At 38.9% G+C, this 15,957-nt stretch overlaps 2 long non-coding RNA genes across 2 annotated transcripts in view, besides 1 other annotated feature; one reads left to right on the forward strand and one right to left on the reverse strand.

Moving 5' to 3' along the window:
* The window catches only part of LOC112268156 (uncharacterized), a 236,909-nt gene that overhangs the window by 190,684 nt on the left and 30,268 nt on the right, over nt 1-15,957 (forward strand). The window lies entirely within an intron of this gene.
* NR2F2-AS1 (NR2F2 antisense RNA 1) overlaps nt 1-15,957 on the reverse strand; it is a 200,002-nt gene that overhangs the window by 53,759 nt on the left and 130,286 nt on the right. Inside the window, exon 3 of the long non-coding RNA NR_125738.1 lies at nt 10,234-10,276. This is a non-coding gene — a long non-coding RNA (NR2F2 antisense RNA 1). The remainder of the gene's footprint in view (nt 1-10,233; nt 10,277-15,957) is intronic.
* Nucleotides 1,930-2,431: an enhancer, noted in NCBI's record as "NANOG hESC enhancer chr15:96726277-96726778 (GRCh37/hg19 assembly coordinates)". NCBI's record gives its function as "activates a minimal SCP1, AML or CMV promoter by ChIP-STARR-seq in naive H9 embryonic stem cells {active_cell/tissue: H9 hESC(naive)}" and the evidence as "EXISTENCE:reporter gene assay evidence [ECO:0000049][PMID:30033119]".

A 15,957-nucleotide genomic window follows, 5' to 3' on the forward strand; every position in this document is an offset into this window, starting at 1 on the left:
AAAATGCTAAGAACGAAATACTGCATAGGCCAAAAAATAATACAGAAACTGAAAACACAAACCCCTCTGAGTGCCACTGGAAGAAAACTGCAGCAAGGCCTGGACTCTTTCTAGGCTTCACTAGCTCTGTAAGTGCTATTCCATTGTATTTTGATCATGGAAGTATTATCTTTCTTCAGATAAATCAGAGGTGTGTATGTTCAGAGCATAAGGAATAGCCTGGGATTTCCCAGTTCCCCTTTCAGTTATCTGGCTTCCTAATTTACCCTGTGAACACTACCTGACCTTGCTACATCTTATTTACCTTTCTCATCTGTAAAATGGGTGTAGGGAATCACCTAGGCTAGCATTTATGATCACTGAGTACCTGTTCCATAATTAGGAGCTGTTATTATCATTGGCATCCCCATGTCCAGTCCTGCTTAGTCTTAGAGCCTACCCAGCACCTAGGCTGCCTTTACTATCTCTGCAGGTCAGACACAGTGCTGGGTGCTGAGTCCTGTCTCTCAATGCCTCCCCCGTCTAGTTGGAGGAGAGAACCATGAGCAGATCTTTAGTGTAATATGATAAGTGCTACAGACAGAATAATCCCAGTATCCCACAGGGGCCCAGGATGAGGCCCCTAGCCATACTGCAGGCTGGGAATGAGGGCAGATTTCCTGCAGAAGTTAACGGCCTGAGTCTTCACAAACAACGGTAACCTCCGCTGCCTCACAGTGGGGAGTGGGCCAGAGCCTCCCCACTCCCTCTTCCAGCCCTCAAAAATGGCTCTTGAGCCTGAACACACTCCTAACACCGCCCCAGCAGCTAATTTGAGAGTTCTGAGCTACGCCTAACTTGCATCATTCTGGGCCACAGACCAAGCCAGCAGCGAAGAAGCCAAGAGCGTTCAGGGCTGCCGACGCATTCCATAAACCCAAATTTCCAGTGTTGCCTTGAGTAAGATGTATACAGGAAATTTTCCATGTGTCAATTAAGCTCATTGAGCATGTGACATAAAAAGGAAATGTAATGTGGGATTCTGATTGGCAAAGTTCAAAAGCCTGTGATTTTGATACCCAGATATAGATCTGCAAGCTATTAAGAGTACTTGACTTGCAACATCCAGAGGTTGTGAAGAAACGCCTGGCACATCAGAGGAAAAAAATGCAGCGCTGAATAGCAGTCTTGGGAAAATACTTACTTCCCAGAGTAAAATGTACACATTAAATGAGTTCAAGAAGCAACTCAACTGTTCTACTTCTCTATCATTTCAAAATCCCCTAACAGATGTTCAGTTTTCAAAGAAAATAATGTTGCATTTTGACCGTTTTCCCCTCTAGATGCCCTAGACGGATGTGAGGTTGTCATACTAACCTTGACTTTGAATTGCTTTTCAGTTCATGTCATTGTAAACTTAGCATAAAACCCCGTGCTTCCCTGGAAAGTATGTATCTTGTTGCTAGCACAATGATTGAGTCCACTTGTCTATTCCAGGACACGAGAGGATCTAACTAAGTCAGAACACCCCACGTCTAGCCCATATATCTATTTATTACCGAATTCACCGGGAAAGACAAGCTGAGTTATCACTTAGCTGAAAAAACCTGAGAGGCATTTATGTGCATGAAGTACAGCATAGACAGAACCATCAAGGCAGGCTTGAAGGAAACACATTACACACTCAGCCTACACAAATCGCCTCACCGATGCCACTGGAGCCGAATGAATGGTGCAGGCGACAAGAGCGGCCCTAGGATGCTTATCTTCTCCCCAGCCCCCATCCCAACCCTCAACGATTACGAATACAATCGTTTGTGACAGATTGCTCCCCAGTCTTCCGCCTTAAATTCTATATGATAAATTCAACATGAAGTGACAGTCACAGCAAGTGTTCAGAGCTCTATCTAAAAAAACTAATTTTACTGAAGTTAGGACTCAATGAACAAGAAAATGTGAAGGTACACCTAAGGCGGATCTCAAAACTTTAATCTCTATGAATTCCATCATGGTTATTTACAGCTGGGATGATATTAATATTTTAAAATATTTCGCTAAAGAAGCACTATGAGACTTTAAAGTTGTATTGTTATGCAAAGGTGGATAATATCTCAATGGGTCCTCCCCAGTGCTGGTATGTTAATGGGGCAAGAGAAAGAGAACAGCTGCTTTTGTTACCCAAGCAGCAGACATAACAACACTGTCCTGTGGTTAATTTCTAGGAAAACGCTCTTCTTCCTTTTTTATTATTTGGGGGTGAAAAAATGTCTTGGGCTACTATTGTCTGTTTAAATTAGGCAAATGCAATTAAGAAGAGTCAAATGTACACAGGCTCCAATGATGGGTAAAATTAAGGTCACCAGTTGCAGCCCTAATCCAGCTGCATTGCTTAATCTCAGCTTTAGCCATTACCATTGTGTGGAATGGAAATGTCTTCCTCGTGTTGGGGTTAATGTGGACTGACTGGGTAGCTGGAGATCAATCCTGCAGGCCTGCTTGAATGTGCAAGTGCTTAACACTGACATTTTGAAAAAGTAAAATTGGGTTTCATTCCCCAGGATTAGGTCAGAGTCCTTTACTTGTCCCTGCCCCTGCCCCCGACCCCGCCTCCCCAAACTAAGCAGAGAGCAGAAGAACATTTTTTCTTGCCAATTGTTTTTTTTTTTTTTTCCCCCTCAGGGATCCTTCGCATTTGCCATTTGTGTACATCTCTTGCTCATTCCAAACAGGAAAGTTCTGTTGCCTCAGAAAAAATAGCTTGTCTGAGCCCTCAGAAAAAATAGCTTGAAAAGGAACTTGTCTTCCTTTTCATATTCATAAAGGTTATATTTGTGTGGCTTGATATTATTTTACCTTGTTAAGGAGTTGTTTCAGGTACTCAGTAGATATAGAGAAAACATTTAGCATATAAAAACAAAAAGTTGACATTTACAGCCAGGAGCTAGGTACGCAATTGCAAAGGTCATCAATGAGTAAACAGATATTAATGGTTAGCCGGATAACTGGTACATAAACAGGTCACATTAATAATTAACACCAGGAAAAGCTAGCACTTCCAACCAAGCTCAGGAAAGTGGGTGCCAGAGGAACCCCCCGAAAAATATAAGAAAACCCCAGTGGTGATTTCTGATTGTTAGAGAGTGAGAAAATTACTTCTTCATTTTTACATTTCTCATATTCTCACCAAAAAACAGTTCTGAGACAGTCATGATAGGAAGTAAGTGCAAGGATGGAGGGAATTTTCTGGACGATCATTGATCTGGTAAATTGTACTTAGTCTAACATTTGTGGTTCCCTTGTTTTCCTTCCATGGCAATGGGTAAAATCACTCAGGAAATTTATTTTATCACTAACCTGCAAAGCCTCTGTAAAAGTATTTGCTTCCTCATTGAGTTATTAAGTCCATGCCTTGTTTTAAAACTTCTGCGCTAAGAGGGTTACATTTTGTACCTGCTGATTGGCATTCACCCAGTTTTTTAATGGGAAAAGGTCAAGTCCAAGCTGTAGACAGGAAGGCAAAGGTGTTGGGGATGTGGCAGGGAATCCTGGTGAGTGAAGTGGGTGCCCCAGGCACCCTGAGGAACCTGGGAGTGAATGTGCCTTAGCCCCACAGCGAGCCCCTAAGAGCCACAGCATCATATCTTTTGATTTTTTAAAGAAGCCATATTTTGTGTGAAATCTCTAGATTTATAACTCATGGGCCAAACAATACGTTATCTACTGCAGGCCACACCAGGCCAGTTTAAATCTCCTGTTTAAATTAAAAACAAATAAATAAACAAACAAAAAAGAACGCCCGAAAATTTGCCAATGAGGAGGAAAGTCTGAGTGTATCTCTACAATTTATTCAACGGTTTCTCTTCTCCTTTAAATACACAGTTCACTATAGGATTGTCCTAAAGAGAAAACTAATAAAATAAGACAATAGACTTCATAGAGAACTGGAATATCCGCAAGGACCTGAAACGGATCCTCGGAACTCCGTAGATAAAAGTCAGATGAGATACTGTTATACATGTAGCCTAATGGTTTACAGATGAATGAGTAGCACTGCTTTCAAATATAATGTGAAGAAACCAATTTTTAAATAAATGTGTAGCTTGACTATCAAGCCCACAGGAGATACTGTGACTTACCCAACCTGAAAATCAAATTATTTAAGGCTGGTCATACTAATAGCAGCCTCTAACCAACCGCTAAGGTGGACTATCAACCCAGACTAGCCACAGGCAGCAAACGAGATGGGTTCAAGAGGAAATGGAAAGAAATAAGATACAAGGCTTGTTTACTAGTTAAATGTGGGTAGACTTCAACAGATGTGAACTACAAAGTGTATATGGGAACTTGTTTCTTGCTGAAGGACGAGTGTTGGCCAAATGTCCTCATAACCTGGTGCCTCTCCACTTCTCCACAGCCACATCCCCACCACACGGTACCTTGTCACCACTGACAACAGCCCCAGAGAGCCATGCTTTCTCCTGTCTCCCAGACTCTCTTCACCTCGAGTATCTCCATGTCACCCTTACTTTCGCTTGTCCCTTTTGAATCCTATAAAATTCAGCTAAGTTCAATTGTCCCCTCCCCTCTTCCAGAAGGCCTCATCTAAGCCACCTCAGGGGGCCTTTCCCTTGTGTTCCCTCAAATACCTCTGTCAACCTCTGGGCCAGCAGCTACTTCTCACTATAATCATGGGTGCAAGTGCCTATCACCTCACAGGACTGCAAATTCCTTGCTGAACGCAGAGGCTACCGCTTTCATCTTCAAACCCCCACCACCTAGCCCTGTGCTTGGAAAACAGTGTATTAATGCTGGACGAATGCATAAATGAATGAAATGAATGGGGCTCCAAGCGATAATGCTTAGAAAACAGACTCTGATAAGTGAAATATGAATGTGTAAATCTACTACAGCTTTTTTTACTTGGTCTAAATCTTTGCACATGTTCGCTGCAATTACATTTGTGACAGCAAGTTTTATTTTGAATGGATCTTATTAATAAGAGTAATAAAATATCAAACAATTCAGATCTTCAGCTTTTTAATCTACAAAGGGGAGATTGATAACACCTGCCTTGCTAGGCCGAGGGGGTGGTTGAGAAGACTACCTGAAATGATGTATGTGATCATATACGAGAGTGAGCCCCAACTGCAATCTGCACTGAGTGGGCGGCCCTCCTGACAGCTGCCATCTCTACTCATTTCTGACTGTCTGGCTCTATTGAAACCCTCTGCCTACTGTCTATGACCCAATCTTTGTATGAGCAAGCCTCTGCCTCTAGTCTTAGGATCCCCAGACCTAGCACAACATTGGCACATAGCAAGTGCTCACTAAGTGTTTGTAATATAAGGAGGTCCATGACAAACATCGTGGTCATTTCATTCATTCCAGTTGTACAAGGCACCATTAAACAGGACAAAACGTGAAGGCAAAAAGGGGGAAACGGAAATGATTGAGAGGCTACCATTTATCAGGCACCCTATATATCTGATTTTATTTCCTAGGTTATTTCATGTCACCTGTGAAATAGCTAACATTGTCCTTATTTTGCATGGAAGGACTCTAAGCATTAATAAGTTAGTATTACGCCAAAGAATGACAGGTCAGTAACAGGCAGAGCCAGGGTTTGAACCCAATACACCATACTGTGTCCCCGTGATAAAACCTTTACGCTCCAGGCACTAACAGTCTCCAGCACATCTGATGTCACAGAGTCAATAACATCCGGAGATGAACAAAAACTCAGGGCACGTCTATTCAACCCCCAGATCACAGATGAGGAAACTGAGGTTCAAAGGGAAATGTATGAATGAGGCCAGAGAGTCAGTAAAAAAGTATGTTAGTAAAAAGCTCTTTTTTTTTTTTTTTTTTGAGATGGAGTCTCGCTCTGTCACCCAGGCTGGAGTGCAGTGGCGCGATCTTGGCTCACTGCAATCTCTGCCACCCGGGTTCACGCCATTCTCCTGCCTCAGCCTCCCAAGTAGCTGTGACTACAGGTGCCCACCACCACCCCTGGCTAATTTTTTCTGTATTTTTAGTAGAGACAGGGTTTCACCGTGTTAGCCAGGATGGTCTCAATCTCCTGACCTCGTGATCCGCCTGCCTCGGCCCCCCAAAGTGCTGGGATTACAGGCGTGAGCCACTGCGCCCGGCCGTAAAAAGCTCTTACGATTCACACTCACAAGTTAAGTCATATTTCTATACCACTTTCATTACATTTACATGTGACTGTTCATGTTAAGAGTAATAAAATGTCAAACAATTCAGATCTTCAGCTTTTTAATCTATAAAGGGATTTTAAAATAATTATACTTTGTTTCATCAAATGGACCTTTACAAAAATAGCATATAGTTTCAGTTCACAAAGAATTATATCTTACATAACTGAACAAAGTTTTCTCTCCTCACAAGATACCAGTGACCTCTTTCTTAGACAGCAGGCCAAGACTACTGACTGAAACCCTGGCAGAGACAGTATAACTCAACAGAGAAAGGCGTCATAAACAATAACTAAAGGAATAATTAAATACTAGGAAAGGGCAAAATCATTTGCTCTTTAAAAATCAAATGAAAAATAAAATAATAAAATAAAATAAAATAAATCCTCTGTGAACATTGCTTCAGTCATTTTTAAAAGCTTTCCCAAATTCCAAATGGCTCTGTTATTAGCGATTCTTAATGCATGAGGTAGTCATATAGGAATAAATCTTTCAGTAATTCAAAACAAGGACTCTTCAGTAAATAGTTGAAATTAAGGGGGGAGTTCGAGTCATCTGGTTTCCATTAGGATGATAAAATAGTTCACTCGAAACCTTTTACAATATGCTTTGTTACCGGGAGGTGTCTGTGCATCTCACTCCATCACTAGCCATTTGACACAACATAAAAAGCTTCAAAAGCCATGTTAGGCCTCTTAATCAAAAACTAATTGTAATAGATATTGGGGAGTGTTAACACGGTGACCGCTAGCTTGTAGCGGTGGTATGGAAGCTGCAGTGAACATTAAACACAACCCCGGGTTGATAGGGCTTATCTCCATTTCAGAGCTGAGTGCTAAGTACTACAGGCCAGTATCTCCTTGCTATGGCTTTGTACCACTTTTGGAGTTAATTGCCCCAGAAGGCTTCATCTTCTTAATGAAATTTATAACATTGTCAGAGAACTTGGAAGATACTGCTGCGGTTTAGCAGACTTTACAGAAAACAGAGACATAAACAGAAGGGAAAAGAAAATACATACTTGGAGCCTAATGCCTCTGCAGCCTGGGCAGAGGTGGTGCAGAACTCCCCAGGCACAGAGGCATTTGCAGCACATTAACTCTTTCAAGCCTGTAATGGAACAGTCATTGAGTGCACTCTAAGGGAAAGGTAATAATTGGTATCGTAGGGCCAGTGGTAGACATTCAATAAATACTTAATGATCAGCTTTCCATGGCTAGAATTACCGGCAAGCAAGAACCGGCATCTTTTTTGTGTGATTCCCCTGCCGAACATGGTGCCTAAGATATGACTGGTGCTGAGGAAATAGTTTCTGAAAAATTGATGAATGAATAAATGATCTTACTGGAGTGAAATACTTGATAATTTTCAGAGTGCTTTCATGTTTGATTCCCACAACCATCCACTTGACAGGTCTAGGGTTTTATTCATAACTAATCCTGGTCTCAAACAGGCAGTTCATAGTTCCCCTTCCAGTCTCCTTTGCTTCAGATGGACTAGAGCGAATGTTCTGTACTACCATGTTTTTAAATGACTAAGGAGGATTTTAAAACTTAAAGACTACCAGCAATTTTAGATCGGTGACTGGATCCTGGAACACACACACACACACACACACACACACACAAACAATTAGAAGAAAAACTGGTGAAATCTGATAAAGTCTGGAGTTTAGTTAATAGTATTATGCTTAATTGTAGTTAATTTCTCAGAATCACGCTTGTGGGTAAGAAGTTAACTTAAGGGCAAGCTGGGTGAAAAGTGTATAGGACTTCTCTGTACTATTTTGAATATCTCTGTAACTCTAAAATTGTTTAAAAATAAAAACAATTTGATAATAACTAATTTACCTTTAAAATGATATGTATTAACATATTGTATTGTATTGTATTGTACTGTACTGTATTGTATTGCACTGTATTGTATTGTACTGTACTGTACTGTACTGTACTGTACTATACTGTATTGTATTGTACCGTACCGTACCGTACCGTACCGTACCGTATTGTATTGTATTGTATTGTATTGTATTGTATTGTATTGTATTGTATTGTATTGTATTGTATTGTATTGTATTCACATTATGGTGCCAAATTGGCACAGGGAAAATTATAAGTAAATATTCCTGGAGAAAAGCAAAGTATAATTTTTCAACTAACTCCTTAGGAAAACCATTTGCAGGTGTGTAAAGGCAACATAATTTCTTATTCCAATTTATAAGTATTATTTTTTGAGACAGGGTCCAGTTCTGTCACCCAGGCTGAGTGCACTGGTATGAGCATGGCTCACTGCTGCCTTGACCCTCCACCCCACCCCACCCCCCCAGGCTCAAGCAATCCTCCCATCTCAGCCTCTGGAGCAACTGGGACCACAGGTGTGTGCCACCTTGCCCAGCTAATTTTTGGATTTTTGTAGAAATAGAGTCCTGTTATGTTACCCAGGCTGGTCTTGAATTCCTGTGCTCAAGCAATTCTCCCACCTCAGCCTCCCAAATTGCTAGGATTATAGGTGTTAGCCACCATGCCTGGCCATCCAATTTATATTTTCTTAACAGTGTTTTTGTATCCTGATAAGGTAGAGTTGTTTTGTAATTAATACATATAAGTGAAATTTTTACCAGTTTTCCTTTTTAAAAAATTATTAACATTAAAAATAATTTAAAATTAATTTTTTTAAGTATTGACTGGGTTTCATCATGTTGGCCAGGATGGTCTCAGTCTCTTGACCTCATGATCTGCCCACCTCGGCCTCCCAAAGTGCTGGGATTACAGGTGTGAGCCACCGTAAAATTAATTTTTAAATGAATAATTTGTTTTAGAAAGACAAAGAGCACACAGGGAATTAGAGAAGGCTAATCCTGATGATAGAACAAGCCATATGATTTTGAAGTTTTAGCCCTTCCCAATTCTTCAACCACCATCTCTGCAGATGATTCCCAAACTTAAATTTCTCACTTGGACATCTGTCCTGAGCTTCAATCCAATTATCTGCAGCACCAGTCAACTTGAAGAGCTCAGCATAATCTCCAACCATTTTCCCCTTTGGTCACTCTGCTATATTCTGACCTTGGCTAATGTCTACTGCACTCACCTCTCTTCTGTTCCCCCCTGGCCACACCCTTCCACCTGCTGAAGCTCTCCACCTAACCATCCAAGGGGTGGCTCAGGTCACCTTACTCTTCTACATCTTCCTCCAGTCCTCTTTTGTTCCCCTCAACTTGAACTACACTTCCACAAAAGTCCATTTGAAACTCTGCTCTTGTGTTTCAAATTGTGTTTTCTATTTGCTATTTATGCAGACAGCTCCTACTTTAAACGTCCAGAAGATCGGGACTGGTCGTATGTGTCCTGATACCCTCAGAGTTTTTCATTTGGAACCATCTGAACATAGATTCATGGGAAGGAACAATAAATCTTAAAAAATATATATCATGACCCCAAAGATGTTATTCTATAAGTGAGAAGATTGGTTTGACTGCTTTAAAAGTGGCAAAAATAACAATGGCCAATATCTGGTAGAGAATGTATTTCTCTTTGGCATTAGAGTGATTCTGTAGGCTCTGCTCATCAAGTGGCCCAGCATCCCAGCTCCCAACGGCATTGCTCTTAACAACCAGTTCAAAGATGGCAGCCAGGCACACTGGCTCATTCCTGTAATCCTATCATTTTGGGAGGCTGAGGTGGGAGGATTGCTTGAGCCTGGGAGGGGAATGTACACCATTGCATGCACAATATTTTTAGCATTAAAAATAATTTTAAATTATTTAATTTTGTAAAAGAATAATTTGTTTTAGAAAGAAAGACAAACATGCCACTGCATGCCAGCCTGGGGAGTCAGAGTGAGACCCTGTCTCAAAAAAACAAAAACAAAAACAAAAAAACAATGGCTCAACCCCTCATCTGCACACTTCAGCCTGCCTAAAATGGGAAGGAGGACATAGACAGCCAGCAATTTTCTTTCAAGGGTACAACAGAGCAGTTTCACAAGACATTTCGTTCTTACCCTATAGGCCAGAATTCAGTCAAATGGGTACACCTACCTGCAGCTGGGGAAAAAGTCCATGATAATGGCCTTACACTCATCTAAAACAGACAAGAGAAAATGAGATATTAGCAGGAAAATCTGAACGCCTGCCTCTGTTTTTTTACCTTATAAAAACTTATCTACCAAGATGTTTATTTTTATACACATTTTCCTACAAAGCATATTACTAGATTTTATAACAGCATTATTGAGATATAATTTACATACCATAAAATGTGTCCTCTTAAAGTGTACAATTCAGCAGTTTTTAGTAAATCCACAGTTATATAAACATCACCACTATCTAATTTCAGAACATTTTCAACACCTCAAAAATAAATCCCATGTCCATTAGCAATCACTCTCTATTCTAACCTCTCCTTGCTCCTGACAACCACTAATCTACCTTCTGTCTCTATGAACTTGCTTGCATTAGACATTTCATACAAATGGAATCATACAATGCAGGGGTTTTGGTGTCTGGCGTCTTTCGCCCAGCATAACACTTTCAAGGTTCATCTGTGTTGTAGCGTGCATTAATACTGTACTTCATTCATTTTTATGACCAGATAATATCCATTGTATGGATATATTGCATTTTTGTGTTTCAAATAATCAGTTGATGAACATTTGGGCTACTTCCACTTTTTGGCTATTATAAGGAATGCAGCTAAGAACATTCTTGAAGAAGTTTGTGTGTGGACATATGTTTTCAAGTCTTCTGGATTTATACTTAATCATGGAATTACTAGATCATATGGTAATTCTATCTTTAACATTTTGAGAAACTGCAAAACTGTTTTCTATAGAGGTTGCAGCATTTCACCATTCCACCAATAAAGTATGAGGGTTCCAATTTCTCTGCATGCTCACCAACACTTGTTATTGTCTGTCTTTTTAAATTTTAGCCATTCTAATGGGTGTGTCACGAATCTCATTGTGGTTTTGATTTGCATTTTCCTAGAGACTAATGATATAAACCATCTTTTCATGTATTTATGCCCATTTGTATATCTTCTTCAGAAAAAAAATGCTTATTCAAATCCTTTGCCCATTTTTAATTACATATTTGTCTTTTTATTATTCAGTTTTTTTTTTTTTTTTTTTTTTTGAGATGGAGTTTTGCTCTTGTTGCCCAGGCTGGAGTGCAATGGCACGATCTCAGCTCACCACAACCTCATGTGCCACCATGCCCGGCTAATTTTGTATTTTTAGTAGAAGTGGGGTTTTTCCATGATGATCAGGCTGGTCTCAAACTCCCAACCTCAGGTGATCGGCCCGCCTCGGCCTCTCAAAGTGCTGGGATTACAGGCATGAGCCACCGCGCCCGGCCTATTATTCAGTTGTAAGAGCACTTTGTATATTCTTTATACAAGTCTCTTCTTAGATATATGATTTGAAAATATTCTGTCATGTTCAGTGGATTGTGTTTTTACTTTTTTTTTTTTTTTTCGAACTAGGTTCTCACTCTGTCACCCAGGCTGAAATGCATGGTGTGATCACAGCTCACTGCAGCCTCAGGTGATCCTCCAACCTCAGCATACCAGGTAACTGGGACAACAGGCGCACACCACCATGCCCAGTTAATTTTTTGTATTTTTTTGCAGAGAGGGCGTTTCGCCATGTTGCCCATGGTCTCCAACTCCTGGGCTCAAGCAATCAGCCTGCCTCAGCCTACCTAAGTGTTGGGATTACAGGCATAAACCACATGCCAATCTGTTTTTACCTTTTGGTGGTGTTCTGAAGCACAGCAGCTTTTTTTGTTATGCTTAATAAAGTCAAATTAGGCCAGGCGCAGTGGCTCATTCCTGTAATCCTAGCATTTTGTGAGGCAGAGGTGGCCAGATCACTTCAGGCCAGGAGTTTGAAACTAGCCTGAGCAACAAAGTGAGACTTCACCTCTACAAAATAAAATAAAATAATTAGCCAGGACTGGTGGCACACCTGTGGTCCCAGCTAATGAAGAGGCTGAGGTGGGAGGATTACTTGAGCCCAGGAGGTTGAGGCTGCAGTGAGCTATAATCGTGCCACTGCAGTCCAGTCTGGTTGACAGAGTAAGACCCTGTCTCAAAAAAAAAATTAAAAATAAAAATAAAGTCAAATATACCTATTTTTTTTCTATTGTTGCTTTTGCTTTTAGTGCCATCTAGGAAACCATTGCCTAATTCAGTTTTACAGTTTTGGCACTTACCTTTAGGTCTATGATCCATTTTGAGGTAATTCTTGGATATGATGCGGGATAGAGTATCTAAATTTACTCTTACAAGTGGATTTCCAATTGTTCTGGCATCATTTTGGGGGATTATTCTTTCCTCCATTGACTTGCCACCCTAGTCAAAAATTAACTCACGGAACATGTAAGGGTTATTTCTGAATCTTCCATTTTGTTCCATTGATCTAAATATCTACCCTTATGCCAGAACCACACTATCTTAATTACTGTACCTAAATTTTCAAGTTGAGAAATGTTAGTCCCCTAATTTTGTTCTTTTTCAAGGTTTCTTGTTTTGTATATTCTGGATCCCTTGCATTTCTATTTAAATTTTAGGACCAACTAGTAGTTTAATGCAGAGCGGGGAAGCAACTAAGATTTTGAAAGGGAATGTCTTGAATCTGTGGATCACTTGGGGGAGTATTGCCATCTGAACAATATCAAGTCTTCCAAATCATTAACATGGGATGTTTTGCCAATTATTTAGGTCTTTTAAAATTTCTTTCAATAATATTGGGCAGTTGTTAGTGTAAACATTTTGCACTTCTTTGTTAAATTTATTCATAAATATTTTATTCTTTTTGATACTGTTAAAATAGAATTGTTGTCTTAATTCCATTTTCAACTTGTTCATTGCTAGTGTATAGAAATAGAATTTATTGATTTTATCACATATTGATATATCGATCTTGTATTCTGCAACCTTGCTAAACTCAACAATTAGCACTAATAAATTTTTAATAAATTCCTTGAGATTTTCTGTGAACAAGATCACGTCATCTTCAAAGACAGTTTTATTTCTCTCTTGTCAGGTTGGGTACATATGTGTTTTAATTTTAAAGTCTTTCAGATGGATTGACCCTTTTATTATTATAAAATGTCTATCTTTGTCTTTAGTAACACTTTTTGTCTTGAAGTCTATTTCGTCTTCAAGAGAGCCACTCCAGTTCTCTTTTGGTTACTGTTTGCCTAGTATGTTTCCATCCTTTAACTTTCAATGAATTTGTGTCTTTGAATCTAAAGTTTGTCTCTTGTAGACAGCATAGAGCTGGATTATGTTTTTTGTCCATTTTGCCAATCTCTGCCTTTTCACTGGAGTGGTTAATACATTTCTATTAAGTAATTACAAATAAGGTAAGTTTTTATCTTCCACTTCGCTATTTATTTTCTATATATCTTCTACCATATTTGATTCCTCTGTTCATCCATTATTGCCTTATTTTATGTTAAATACATATGATATAGTATATTGTTTTAATGTCCTTGCTGTTTGTTTTACTTTTTTTTTTTTTTATTTTCTTAGTGGTTGCCCCATACATTATGATCAACATCCCAATTTAGAACAATTTAGTTCAAATTACTACCGACTTAATTTCAATAGTGTACTAAAATTTTGTTTCCATATAGCTCCATTTCTTCTCTCTCCTTTGTGAAATTTTGTCAATTAACTTGTATCTTTACACAGTGTAAGCCCATAAACACAGTTTTATAATTCTTGCTTTATGAAGTAGGTGTTTAAATAAGAGAATAAATGATTTACAAACAAAATACATTTATGCTATATTTTTATTTACCTATGTAGTACATTTACCAGTTACTCTCTAATGTCTTTTCATTTCAGCCTGAAGGACTCTCTCTTTAATAGTTCTTGTAGGGCAGGTCTGCTAGTAACAATCTCTCAGTTTTTCCTACTCTGGAAATGATTTTATTTATCCTTTATATTTGGAGAAAAGTTTCATTTAATATAGAAGTCTTGATGAATAGTCTTTCTATCATCCTTTTGAATATGTAAACAGTAGCCTTTTGATATTCTTGGGTTTTTACCAGAAGTCAACTGTTAAATCTTATGGTGGACTCTATGATTCTTTTGCTGCTTTCAAGATTTTCTCTGTCTTGATAGTTTATAATGTATCCAGGTGTGGATCAATTTGTGTTAAGTTTACTTGGAGTTTTTTAAAATTTTTGAATGTACAGGTTAACGTTTTTTATCAAGCTTGGGAAGTTTTCAGCCATTATTTTCTCAAATATACTTTCAACTTTTCTTCTCTCCTCTTCTTCTGTGATTATTACATATATTTTAGTACACTAGCGTCCCATAGATTCATTTTTATTCATTTCTTTTTTCTTTTTCTTCCCGAATCTGGATAATCTCAGTTGAACTATGTTCAGGATCACTGATTCTTTCTTCTGTCAGTTCGTATCTGCTATTAGGCAACTCTAGCAAATTTTTATTTCAATGATTGTATTTTTTCATTTTAGATCTCTATTTTTCTTTTTTATAATTTCTATCTATTCATTGAAATTCTTTATTTGGTGAAGTATTATTTTCATGCTTTAATTCTCTAAATATGTTTTTCTTTCCTTTTTTCAACTTATTAATAGTAGCTGACTTAAAGTTTTTGTATAGTAATTCCAACATCTGGAATTTTTCCTGTTTCCTTGTGTAGCTCATGCATATTTTTTGAAAACTGGACATATATATAATATAAAATGTAAATAAAATATAAAATAAAATTATAAAAATATATATATATAAAATTATATAATGTGGCTATTCTGGAAAGAAGATTCCTTCAAGATTTGTTACTCTTAAAGTTTATTGTTGTTGCTGCTGTTTGTTCAGTGACTTTTTCAAACTAATTCTGTAACATTTGTAGTCTTGGTCATGTACAGCCACTAAAGTCTCTGTTTAGAAACTCTGTGCTTAGCTAATGCTCAGACAGAGGGTTTTCTTTTCTTTTCTTTTCTTTTTTTTTTTTTTTGAGACAAGGTACAAATACAGCTCACCTCAACCTCAACTTGCTGGGCTCAGGTGATCCTCCTGCCTAGCCTCCCAAATAGGTGGGACCACAGGGGCATAATTTTTTTAATTTTTTTTTTTGACACAGGATCTCACCATGTTGTCCAGGCTGGTCTCACACTCCTAAGCTCAAGTGATCCTCCTGCCTCAGCCTCCAAAAGGGTAGGATTGTAGTCACGAGCCACCACACTCACCCCAGAGATTTTCTTAAATGACTTGAAACAATGAGTCCCCTAGGCTTCAGTAAGAAGTTCTGGAAGAGGGGAGGGCATCTACAATGCTCAGTCAGGTCATTGAGAATTCTGCCTATGCCTTCACTTCCTGCTTACACAGAAACTTCAGGTTAGTCACAGATGAGAACTCAGAACCTCCTCGGATCTTTCTGGAGCAGGTGCATAGCCCCGAACTTGCACGTGGACTTCTAGATTCCTGGGAATATGTTGGAGCTCTTCAAAACCTTCTATGCTCATATCATTCTTCAGTTTTTCCTTTTTAAATGTTTTGCTCAGCCTCTTGGTAGCCTCATCTGTTATTATCACCTCAGGTAGCTGCCACATTAAATAATTGCCACTGACTGTTTTCAACAAATAGTTTAGCAAAAGGCTATTTGTACAGAGTAAAGTCTGAGTCATATCAAAGACAAGCTGTGAGACAGGTCAAACAGTGAAAGTTTTCTGGAGATGGAACTTCTCCCCTTCAGTAGCTGCTAGGCTGCTTACATTCAGGAC

This window comes from Homo sapiens, chromosome 15 (assembly GCF_000001405.40).
Source record: "Homo sapiens chromosome 15, GRCh38.p14 Primary Assembly".
Classification (NCBI taxonomy): domain Eukaryota; kingdom Metazoa; phylum Chordata; class Mammalia; order Primates; family Hominidae; genus Homo; species Homo sapiens.